The 13,323-nt window shown below is 40.1% G+C and overlaps 1 annotated feature.

Moving 5' to 3' along the window:
* Window positions 10,367–10,867: an enhancer, noted in NCBI's record as "H3K4me1 hESC enhancer chr1:220856220-220856720 (GRCh37/hg19 assembly coordinates)". NCBI's record gives its function as "activates a minimal SCP1, AML or CMV promoter by ChIP-STARR-seq in naive H9 embryonic stem cells {active_cell/tissue: H9 hESC(naive)}" and the evidence as "EXISTENCE:reporter gene assay evidence [ECO:0000049][PMID:30033119]".

Genomic DNA, 13,323 nt, shown 5'->3' on the forward strand with positions numbered 1-13,323 from the left:
ATCAAAATATAGATTGAAAGAGCTCTTATGATGCTGGCTGTAAATTAAGCTGTCTCTCCAAACTGGTCATGCTACTGCTGCTTCAGGAGTAACAAAGACAAGGCCAGCCTGCCCTAAATATTGCCAAGGGCAGGCACAAGAGCACAAAGAAAACCAAAGAAGTCCCAAAGGAAACCCCTCTTCCCCACTCCCATCCCTCCAGCTCAGTCCTCCACTGGGAGGGGCATGAAGCACAAGCGTGTGGACAGTTTCCTGATCTGCATTTATTTCACTCGGCCAGTTACAAGTCTTACTAAATCTATGATCATTCAACTTGCTCTTCCCCATTTTGATTTTTCCAGATACAAAGCTGAAATCTAGGCATACTTTCCATTACATTTAATAATAATAATAACAAGAGGAAAGAGGAGAAGGAGGAGGGGAAAGGTTATATGGTATAATGCAGTTCTTAATGAATCCATGCTACTTGCTAATAATTACCTTTCATTTTCCTTCCTCGGTGCTTAGTTCCTAAGCCACTCAAAGATCTTTCTAGATCTTTGATGTTTACCTGTTTTGGTAGTGTCTGGTGCCTCTTCTGTTTTGCTCAATTTCTCAAAGCACACTTAACAGCAATTCAGAAATTTCACACTTTTTTTTTCCTGAAGTTTGCCAGAAGTATTTATTTTACAAACACATTAGTGGGACTTGAGACTCATAAAGAAGAAAGCCACAAAATCAATATAGGACCTCCTGTAACATCTGGTGAGCCAGGAGAATTCTGAAACAAATACACAATAATTGGCACTAAGCAAACCAGAGCAATAACACATTGCACGACAGCTCCTAGTACACAGCCTGGCTCATTGCAGCCACTTAAAATGCCACTTGGGGTGGGCCAGGTTGATGTAGCAGGTCCCCTTTTTAAGAGCATTTCGAGAGGCTGACGTTGACAAGCTAGTGTCAGAGATTGAGGTCCTCTCACTTCAAGGACATTTGAAGTTATGTAAATGTATACGTTTTTCTCAAGCTAATATTGCCATTCGCCTATGTATCCAAAGTTTCATCTATGATATACTATACTATGCTAAGCCATAACTGCCATACAGTTCCAGATCATTCCACTCCATCTAAAAGACCTTTTTGAGTACCTAACAAATGTGAACTATTGTGGGGGAAAAAGTAATATATTAGAAAGGTGAGGTGAAGTGATATATTAGAAAGGTGAGGTGAAGGAATTCTCTTAGTTTCTACAATTTAAAAAATTAAGAAATTTCATACTCTGAGCTGTTCTAGTGCCTTTGAATGTTATTTTTGCAGCTAGGAGTCCTAAAATAGAATGGCAATGAAAATAACCTTATATGCTATTCTGTTTTTAAAAATCAAAGCATTTATTCATCTTCTTTAAAAAATGACAGCTGTTTTATGAAAATTTAGAAAATATAGGTAAGCCAAAAGAGGAAAAAAAAAAAACCTGAAACACCTCACTATCCAGAAACCACTGTGAATAATTTGCTGTATGTCCTCCAGTGTATTTCAGTGGCAAAATCTGTATATAGTTGTAGTGAGTTTGAATGTTGGGGGTTGATCAAGAAAAAGACCAGACCATGAGATGACAGTAGCACACAAGAGCTTTATTTTGATAAGGCTTGGACAGATTGCATGGAAGGTGAAAGTCCTCACATCAGGAGACCTTCCAGATACAGCAGCAGGGCCACCACCATAAGGGAAAAAGGACAAGCAACCTCCCTGGGGAGAGGAGGATCAGAGAGGGTTTTGCAGGTTTGAGGATGTCACTTAGCAGCGTAGTGAGGAGCCTCTTGGTCATAGATCCTTAAGGGACAGCAGCCATCTGGGGTCTTTTGTAGCCCCACAGTTTGTCTTATATATGGCAAGAAGGTGTTGTGTGCAGTTTCACAGGTTATGCAAAGCAGGTGGGCTCTAAAAGGGTAAAAAAAAAAAAAGGGGGCTATATTTACAGCAATTGGATGTGCAAGAATTTGAGTTTGGTGCCGGCAGGCTTGAGTTAATGATCCTGGGGTGTGGTACAGAAGTAAACACCATGGGTGTCAATACACAGAGGCCGACTTGAACCCATTTATTCAACAGTAATTTGTTTATTATTTATTATTTTTTTTGAGATGGAGTCTCACTCTGTTGCCCAGGCTGGAGTGCAGTGGCACGATCTCGGCTCACTGTAACCTCTGCCTTCCAGGTTCAAGTGATTCTCCTGCCTCAGCTTCCTGAGTAGCTAGGATTACAGGCATGTGCCACCACACCCAGCTAATTTTTGTATTTTTAGTAGAGACAGGGTTTCACCATGTTGGCCAGGGTGGTCTTGAACTCCTGACCTCAGGTGATCTGCCCACCTCAGCCTCCCAATGTGTTGGGATTAAAGGTGTGAGCCACCATGCCCAGTATTCAATAATAACAAAAAATGAGATTCATACTGACCACTGCTTTGCAACACACCTTTTCCACTTAAGCTCTATGGACCTCTTTCTGGGTCTTTATGTCTATATTCTTCAACATTCTTCAAGCTTTTTTTTATGAAGTGGAATTTTTTTCCCCCAATGCATGAAGTGGAATTTTTTTCCCCCAATGCATTGTTTCATGGAATAAATATATGGAAAAAAAATACACACACACACACACACACTACACACACATATCTATATGAAAATTATATATATACATTATATATATGTATATACGTGTGTGTGTGTGTGTGTGTGTTGGAGAGAAAAGAGTGAAATTCTGCTTGCTTTTGCCAGCTACCCCCTTCTGGCTTTCTGTTAAAGTCTAAGGCGATAAGCCTCTGCTATTATAAAATATTTTAATGGTTTTATGATATTCTGTGTAATAAGATTACTTAATGACCTGTTTGACAGACATTTTTATTTTTTTCCTAATTCTTCATATCATAACATTGCCATGAATGTCCTTGTAATCAAATCTATACATATTTCCATAATTATTCTTTGGTAAATTTTTTTCAAAACACATGACTATTTTTATAGTTTTTGGATTTTTATTTTTTCTTAACTATGGTTATATTCTATCCCTGAAGCTGGCAATAATTTTCCTTGAGAGAAGAGAATGAAATAAAAAATTAGTTGGGAATTTATTGCCTCTGTCACAAAAACACAGGTTAAGAGATGGGCCAGGTGGGCAGTTTCCAGGGTTCCAGTTCATAGGAGGGGCCAAGACAACACCAAAATGTAAGGAGATGGAAAAACTAGATTCACCAGAATTCCTCTTAGAAAAAGTCTCAGTGGGTGGTTGGAAAGAATACTTTCATAAAGGGCTGAAGATGGGGAAAGAGAGACAAGACGTCCTCAGGAACATGCTTGTAAAATAACATGTTCAAGGAATTGCCTTTTATTCAAAGTCCTTTTACTTTTATCCAGTCCTTGAACTTTTATTGAAAGTTCAAACCACAGAGCTGGTTTGGCAAAGTGCATTGTACATATTTATTGACCTCCCCTGCCCTTGCTGTAGTTTTCAGTGATACCTCTAAATATTAAAGAAATATAATATTAAACTAATTAAACTAGCATAGCTTTTTTAAAAAGTTCCAGATTAACAGATTTGCATGTCCAAGGATGCTCTGTCCCCCTCAGACTCATGCTCTCACTACTCTACTCTGTTCCAGTCCTCTCTCCAGCTCTCTGGAAACCCACTCCAAAGGGGCACTCACCACCTCATCTCTGCACAGGACTTCCCTTCCACCTCCCAGTCTTAACTTGCCTCCTCTGAGAGGCAGTATTTACCTGCAGCTCTCTTTGAATAAAGGCTGTTCATTTCCTGTGCCCTATGTGTCTCCATAAAGAGAGTGTCCCCACCTCCTCTTGCTGCTTGAGGAAGTGTAAAGTAATGTACAGGAGTCATCTTTTTTTTTTGAGACAGAATCTCACTCTGTTGCCTAGGGTGGAGAGCAGTGGCACAATCTCAGCTCACTGCAACCTCTGCCTTCAGGGTTCAAACGATTCTCGTGCCTCATCCTCCCAAGTAACTGGGACTACAGGCGCACTCCACCAGGCCCAGCAAATTTTTGTATTTTTAGTAGAGACAGGGATTTACCATGTTGGCCAGGCTGGTCTCGAACTCCCAACCTCAAGTGATCTGCCCACCTCAGCCTCCCAAAGTGCTGGGATTACAGGCGTGAGCCACTGTGCATGGACAGGAGTCATCTTCGACCAGACGAAAGACAGCAGTGCTGAAAGATAACAGCCCAAACCCTGCCCATGTCCTGCATTGGGCCCACTTTTCACAGGCTCTTCGTGGTGTTTTCTACTTGGCATGGTTCCCTCCAAGAACTTTCTCAGCAGTCCTTACCAAAATCAAATCTGTTGTTAGACATGTTGCTTAGGCCGGGTGCGGTGGCTCACGCCTGTATTCCCAGCACTTTGGGAGACCATGGCAGGCGGATCACCTGAGGTCAGGGGTTCAAGACCAGCCTGGCCAACATGGTGAAATTCCGTTTCTACTAAAAATACAAAAATTAGCTCTGTGTGTTGGTGCATGCCTGTAATCCCAGCTACTCAGGAAGCTGAGGCAGGGGAATCGCTTGAACCTAGGAAGCGTAGGTTGCAGTGAGTTGAGATCATGCCACTACACTCCAGCCTGGGCGACTGAAACTCCGTCTAAAAAAAAAAAGACGTGTTACTTAGAAACAGCATCAATGACAACAACAAATAACCTGATTAAAAATGGGCAAAGGAACTGGAGAGACATTTCTGCAAAGAAGATATAAAAATGGCCAATAAACACATGAAAAGATATTCAAGATTTCTAATCACTAGGGAAATGCAAATGAAAACCACAATGAGATACCACCTCACACCGATTTGATGACTACTATAAAAAACAAAAACAAAAAGTATTGGCAAGCATGTGGAGCAATTGGAACCCTTGTGAATTGCTGATGGGAATGTAATGGGCAGCCCCTGTGTAAAACAGTATAGTGATTCCTCAGACAATTAAAAATAGAATCACCGTATGCTCCAGCAATTCTACTTCTGGGTATATACATGAAAGAATTGAAAGCAGGGACTCCAGTGTATTTGCACATCCATGTTCATAGTAGCATTGTCCACAATAGCCAAAAGGTAGAAGCAACTCAGTGTTCATTGACAGATGAAAGGATAATGAATGGGTAAACATATGCGATGTATATGTACAATGGAATATTATTAAATTTGAAAAGGGAATGAAATCCTGACATATGCTACAGTATGGATGGGCCTTGAGGACATTATACTAAGTGAAATAAACCGTCACAAATGGACAAATACAGTATGATTCCTCTTATATGACATACCTAGTCAATTTCATAGAAACAGAAAGGATGGTGGTTGCCAGGGGGTGGGGAGAGGGGATAATGAGGAGTTAGGATACCAACAAAGGGCAGAAACAACCCACGCTTATCGGAGCCATCCCCTCACCCTAGACACATATTCTCTTACATAATTTATTCCTCTTATTTTCTAAACTTAGCAGATATAATTCAGTGCCTACAGCTTCATTCGTGGGCCTCTTCCAATATTCTCTTTTCAAGATAGCAATTCCAAATTTGTATACTTTTGAGTGACTTTGCATCTTAATGTCTCCTTTACCCTCCCTTTAGAGCAGGCTGATTTGGAGAAAGAATACCTGGCGAGTACTGCAAAACAGGACAGCCATCAAAGATTCTTCCCTGATGACATCTCAGTTTCTTTTTTCTTTTTCTTTTCTTCTCTTTTCTCTTTTCTTTTCTCTTTCTTTCTTTCTTTCTTTCTTTCTTTCTTTCTTTCTTTCTTTCTTTCTTTCTTTCTTTCTTCCTCTCTTTCTCTCTTTCTTTCTTTCTTCCTCTCTTTCTTTCTCTTTCTTTCTTTCTTTCTTTCTTCTTTCTTTCTTTCTTTCTTTCTTTCTTTCTTTCTTTCTTTCTTTCTTTCTTTCTTTCTTTCTTCTTTCTTTCTTTTTCTCTCTCTGTCACCTAGGCTGGAGTGCAGTGGTGTGATCTGAGCTCACTGCAACCTCCAACTCCCGGGTTCAAGCGATTCTCTTGCCTCAGCCTCCTGAGTAGCTGGGACTACAGGCATGAGCTACCACACCTGGCTAATTTTTGTACTTTTAGTGGAGATGGGGTTTCATCATGTTGGCCAGGCCGGTCTCGAACTCCTGACCTCAAGTGATCCACCCTCCTTGGACTCCCAAAATGCTGGGATTACAGGTGTGAGCCACCATGCCAGGTGACATCTCAGTTTCGTGAGCATCAACGTGGCCTCTGTTCTCTCCTTATGAAAACAGTTCTTTTCCCACTTTCCTGGCAGCTTCCCTGCAGCCCTTCTCCTCATCAAACAACTATTACGTAAAAATTTTAAAATTTGATGTTCTAATCATAAAAATGCATTCTTCTTATTGTTGTTATTATTTGAAAATTAAATGACCCCAAAATAGGCACACAGCAGACATAACTTGTTTTTTTCAGCTATTTGTAAAGGAGCTGAAAAGGTTAGATTAATCCAAGTAGTTTTACTTCAGATGTTGAGTACAAAATGGGATGTAAACTTGAGTTATAGTATTTTTCTTCAATCTGCTCCTTTTTAAAGGTATAATCCTGTTTGTTAAATGAATTTTACTTAACTATGGAAATAAATGTATCCAGACTGGAAAACTGGTTCCAATTTTTAAACTCTTCCATACTTAGTGTTCTCAGAAGATCAGGGACCGATGAGGCCTGAGAAACTATTTCAGCCGTGCCCTCATTTCTCTCCTGAGGAAACTGTGTTCAAAGATGTCTTAAGTGATTTGATCCAAAGTCTTTCTGAGCAAGGTCTCAGCCCTGGCTTTCAGAATCCCAGCCTGCTGCGCTGCTGGTTCTTTCCAACATCATCATCAACAACCACCTACCAACACCCACGTTTCTCTTTGTGGACCTAACTTTAGAAAGGTTTGTTCCATCAAGCTGCACTTAAATAATAATCCTTTGTCAATTAAATATTCTGGTATCAGATAATCTCTGCTACCCTATTGAACGGACATAAGTCCAGCCAAAAGGACAGAAATGCCATATCATTTCTTTCTTTTTTTTTTTTAACTCATCCATGTTTCTGTTTATATATAGGATAACAAATTCAGAAACAATGGGAAAATAATATATGAAACCTTAATAGGAAATATAATAGAGATTACAAAACACCACCATTTGATTTTTTTATGCAAATACTTCAATATTCCAATATTTTTACTCACTTGTTAAATAAAGCACACGCCTCGAAATGCTAAATAATTCTGTTAGTCTAAATCTTTTAAAGAATAAAATGTTGGTGAAAAACCAAGATTGTTTAGTAAGGTATGTACGACCTTGTTTATTATCTATCATAGATATCAAGATGATCATAGTTAATACCAATTTAAGCTTTACAGAATAATGTTTTAGGCCCAATATTGATATATTAAATGAAGGTATCAGAGAATCTTGTATTTATGGCATCAGGTTATAAAGATCTATTCAAAACCATTTTTGTCAAAGTTTAAACCCTGGAACAAAAGTCAAATTGTTTCTAAATGAGACACAAAATGATTCTTGCTAATAGTACAAATTTTGTCCCATGGGTAATACTATTGTCTTTTTCTTTTTTAAAAAAATTATTTCGATTTTTATTTTAGATTCAGGGAAGACATGGGCAGGTTTGTTAGCTGGCTATACTTACCATTTCTTTTAAACGTTTTGACATGTTCAAATTGTTAGTTTCTGTTATTACCAGAGAGAACCACTAGAGGTCAGGGAAAACCCCTGCCCAGGACAGTGCTTCTGTCCTACCACCTGCAGCAGTCGGAACCCTCTGGATCTGTCTGTACAACAGAGACCCCAAAGCCCCCTTCCCAAGAAGCACTTGGTCTTGTGTCCCACATACTTAACTAATAGCATGTCTTTTTTCTTCTGCCTACTCATGGATTTGAGGCTAACATCCTTCCCTGCTTAAGTTGGATTTTGCACATTTTTTAATCTGCTCATGCGATTTAAACATCTTTCCATCTGGCTACAAAGGCACCTTAATTCCATTCCATTGGATTCCTTATATCCCGAAAGTAAATGCTTTCATACGTTTTTAATCAAATTTGATAAATTTTGATGAAAATTCTCTCGATAAATTTTGATACAAATTTTGATGATAATGTTGATGAAATCTGAAGAATTTTGATGAAAATTTGATGGAATTCTGCACTCTTTTCATATAATGTAAATCTGATGGGGCCAAAGCCTTAGAGATATAAAAATGACTTCTAAACATGACATAGTGTTTCACAGCTATATTATTTTAATGTCATACTTTTTTCTCAGGTTACTGCGATGAACCAATGGCTTTTCATTGACACAATTTGTTTCAATTATTTGTAGTCATCAGTTCTTTTTCAGTGATCAAAATGTCACAATTTAGCCAAAGGAAACTTTTAACTGGCCCACGTAGCCTTTTTACAAAAAATGCACAAAATATTTAAAGTATCTTTGCTTTTCGGCAACAAGATGCCACAGGCCCATTTTGTACATCTGGTCCCAGATGTGAGATCTACCAATTTTCCTAGTCCCAATTTCTCTCAGAGAAAGAAAGCAGGGACCCAACCATGAGCACTGTGGGAGACCACGGCAAGCGGATCACCTGCCGTGATATTAGAGACCCAACCATGAGCACTGTGATGTGCTTATCTGGCTTCGTGCTGCTGGGATGATAGAACTTATGGGCCGTTTCAATGGACGGTCATGGGAAAAGTATACATACACACAGACAAACATATGTCTAAGAAGTTCACAGCCATTTTCAAGTTAGTCCCAATATTACTTCACAACCATAATACGTAAATTCTTAATCCTATACTCAAACTATAATTGTGCTTCATTTTCTTTTTAATGGATGACTCATATTTGCCATTCTGAAGCTCTTGATTCATAACAAAGCTAACGTAATCACTTATTTATTTTAGATCCAAAGTAGGTCCAATAAAATAAATAGGTCCAAAATAGCGATACTGTACTAACTATAAAGCCACTAAGTAGAATTCCAGTGTTTATTTGTAAATTGCCTTTGTCCTTAGAGTGCAGGATACAGAGGGTATAGGATACAGAGTACAATTACTTTGATCTAGAGTACTCTGAAATAAATCCTCACTCTGTGGGTTACAGAAGTCTATCCAAATGTTTCCGTTCGTTTTCCGTTTGAGTTCTTAGGATTTTAGCTTTCACTTTCTGCTTAGAGTCTATATGGGGTCGGAGGCAAAAGGGTAAGTCAGTTTTATCACGAGGACAAATAGAAATATCCTAACAGTTCAATGTTCAAAGTACCAGAAAAAATTTCATTTATTCACTGTCTGCCTCACCTCCAATGACTTATTGCCCAGAAGTTACATGTACAAGATTTACATGTGCATAAAAAGCTGTACAAATCCATTCTGACTTCCAATATTCCTCTGAATATATTTAGGAGCTACAGTTTTGTGTATTCAATTAAATTTTAATTATACTACATCCGGTCCTGAGAGCTTTATGATTTATCTTCTTCCTCCCTGCACCCCAGCTTCCAGTTTTTCTTTTTTCTCTGTCATATATGACAGCATTCCCTTCCAATTAACACAGTATACATGTTAAGTATCATCATATCAAGTCACAGTTATAAATTATAATAGTTAGTTTTACAATATGTTTACTTGTATATGCCAAGACACTTTTCCTTGTTGCTGTTTTGTTTTGTTTTCTCTCTCTTTTTTTTTTTTTTTTTATTTGAGATGGAGTCTCACTCTGTCGCCCAGGCTGGAAGTGCAGTGATGCGAACTCACCTCACTGCAGCCTCCACCTTTCGGGTTTTAGCGATTCTCCTGCCTTAGCCTCCCAGGTAGCTGGGATTACAGGCACACGCCACCACGCCTGGCCAATTTTTGTATTTCTAGTAGAGACGGGGTTTCACCATGTTGGCCAGGCTGGCCTTGAATTCCTGACCTCAGGTGATCTGCCTGCCTCGGTCTCTCAAAGCGCTAGGCATCAGCCACCGTGCCCGACCCCTTGTTGCTGTTTTCTAAATATAGTAGTAATTATTAAGATAGTTTAATCTACCTAGAGGGATGTAAATGTATATAGTAGAATGGCATACTGTTGGCAAGGGAGATAGAGACCAATGCAGGGTTTTCAGGTTTTGTCAGAAATGTCCTTTTAACTTATAAGGCTGTAATTCTGACCTGAATTCTCTACACATGTATTTTTCTATTATCAATATTATTAAAGGCAGATAGTTCCATCGTTTTTTTAATCTTCAGTGGCTTTTGGATATGTACAGTCCAATAAGACATAATTCCGTTACATTGTTAAATAATTCTTTTAAATGTTAGGTATTATGCTTTAAAACTTTATCCAGGGGAGACTTCTGATTCTGCTTCTGATATAGAATGATTCAAAAGACTTTTCAATCTGGTGGTAACACAGATGTAAATCTGTGCACACACAAATTAAAATTGCATTATATTGTGGTATCAAAGAGTGTTGAGTGCAAGACAGCCTTGGTGCCTGGGATTCCAGAGAAGGGCATGGCTTTCACGGGTGAGCAGCGAGCTGCAGCCGTTTCCACGCCTGGGCAAGTCACTGATCTGGGCAGGGCTGGGCGGAAAGTGGGCTTTTTCCATAAAGTGGGCTCTTTTCTGAAAAAGTGAGCCTGGCACTCAGGCGCCTCTTCTGGCGTGAGCGGACGCCAGCCATGCTTTTATAATAGTTACGGTGTGGGCTGGAAGGACAGATTGGAATTTGCAAAAGCCCCAAATAAGAAAATAAACAAATCACACAGCCCCGTGATGCCACCCTCACTCCTGCAGTTATGCTGAGAAAGCCGCGGGAGGAAGCCTTGCCAAGCAGAGCTTGCATGCTTGCTTGTGCATCCGCACAGTGGTTGGTGCCTCGGCTCTCCTGAAGTTGAAGCCAAAAGTGAACCCAAACGCCTACGCTGCACTCCATCTCCTCCCAGCTGAAAGCCCCACAAGACCAAAGGCTTTGGGCCCTGGACCATGATGGCCCAGAAGGTCCAGGCTTGAGCTAGCCAGAGGTGAATGCACTCTGATTAGCGCTCCGGCCCAGCCCCACCACAGCTGAGCTAACTCTTGGTAGGTTTTAATGGTCAGTCCCTCAGGACAGCCACCAGCAACAAAAAGGCTTGCTCTTAAATTTTAAAAATTCTTCATATTCCACAAGAAACAATATATGGAAGACCCTTGTTTCATGTTTGTAGCAAATTCTAGTTGAAATACCCTTTAACTGCAATTCCATGATACATTGTATTTATGTCAAGTCTTTGCCCTTTATCTTCAGTGTAAGAACTCTAACCCTTCAGATGAAATAAAAATGTGCTGTGCTTGGCCGGGCACGGTGGCTCACGCCTCTAATCCCAGCACTTTGGGAGGCCACGGCGGGCGGATCACCCGAGATCGGGAGTTCAAGACCAACCTGACCGACATGGAGAAACCCCGTTTCTACTAAAAATACAAAATTAGCCAGGTGTGGTGGTGCATGCCTGTAATCCCAGCTACTAGGGAGGCTGAAGCAGGAGAATCACTTGAACCTGGGAGGCAGAGAGGCAGAGGTTGCGGTGAGCCGAGATTGTGCCATTACACTCCAGCCTGGGCAACAAGAGCGAAAATCTGTCTCAAAAAAAAAAAAGAAAGAAAAAAAGTGCTGTGCCTGAGATTTCTAACTGTGCATTTTATGGGGCCTGCATGATTACCACAGATATGTATTTGAGGAGAAAAACACTTAAATGTAAATGTTAAATTTCTTTTTCTACTACATCATCTACTTTTATCACTTTTTGAACTAAAAGGTATTTAATGTGGAAGGCCCCAATAAAAAATGATCTTTAAAAAAATAAATTTTTTAACCTAAGGAAAGATAATTTTTTACCATCCTTTTTTTTTTTTTAGGCTGCACCAAAAACTGAGGCTTAGCTGGTATACAAGACTGCCACTACCACCACCTCTATGCCCCCCACCTTCCTTTTAAGTTGCAATCTTTGGAAAATTAAAAATATTTTCCTATCTAGTTCATGGTTTATAACCAGTTCTTATCAGCCAAAGATGTACTTCTTCCTGAGTCTAAATCTATCTTGTAAAAATAAATTAATTGTTTTAAACAACTTTAATTCATACAGTCTCAGGTCTATCCACATTCTCTTACTCTAAATTCACACATTTATTACAAAATGAAAGAGTAAAGAGTTAAACATAAGGTCCTTATGTCTACAAATGGAAACTTGGTTTTCAATTAAATATGTATAGCTGTTTCTATGCAAGTCATTCCAAATAAGCAATTATTTTTAAGCTTCTGAGGTCTCTACACATTTTTGAACTCAATAACTGACGATGTGTTTTCATGAATCTTAGCTCTCCAATGTACTTGCTCCTTTGGAGAACAAGTTTCTAATTCTTATCAGTAAAGAAAGATTCCTACAAGAGGTGAATGTTGTGGGTTGTCACTCAGCATTCTTCTCACCCTCCTTCCAGCGTGCAGAGTCTAGGAAGTGAAATCATGTTCCAGGGTCCCTCGGGTACTGGAGGAAATTGAGCAAGTTAGCTTAGACTAATCAGGTGCACTCCCGAGAGTTTTGGAAGGCAGAGAGGGTGGAAGCCATGCTTCAACTGTTTATGCTGCTTCTGCTGACAAGGGCAGTCCTGCAGATGTTGGGATTTTTTGTGCCAGAATGCCAGCGTCTGGTCCTCAGTCTCATGGGTATTTAGAGAAAGGGGAGGGGGTGCCTGTGTGTTGCCAGTGCAGACCAGCAGTCTGTTATGGATTAAATTGTGCCCCAAACCTCCCAATTCATAGGTTGAAACTCTAACCTCCAGTACCTTAGATGTGATTGTATTTGAAGATAGGGCCTTGAAAGAGGTCGTGAAGGTTGAATGAGCCTGGGTGTGGTGGTTCACACTTGTAATCCCAGCACTTTGGGAGGCCAAGGCAGTGAATTGCTTGAGCCCAGTTCAAGACAAGCCTGGGCAACATAGTGAAACCCAGTCTCTATAAAATCTACAAAAAAATTAGCTGGGCATGGTGGCTCAGGCCTGTAGTCCCAGCTGCTTGGGAGGCTGAGGTGGGAGGATGGCTTGAGCCCAGGAGACCGAGGCTGCAGTGAGCTGAGATCACACCACTGCACTCCAGACCCTGTCTCAAATTAAAAAATTTTTTAAAAAAAGGTTGAATGAGGTAATAAGGGTGGGGCTCTAATCCAATAAGACGGGTGTCCTTCTAAAAAGAGGAAGGACCAGGGATGTGCATGCACAGAACAAAGGTGATGTGAGGACAGAAAGAAGGTGGCCATCTGCAAGCCAGAG

Source organism: Homo sapiens, chromosome 1, assembly GCF_000001405.40.
Source record: "Homo sapiens chromosome 1, GRCh38.p14 Primary Assembly".
In the NCBI taxonomy this organism is placed as follows: Eukaryota; Metazoa; Chordata; class Mammalia; order Primates; family Hominidae; genus Homo; species Homo sapiens.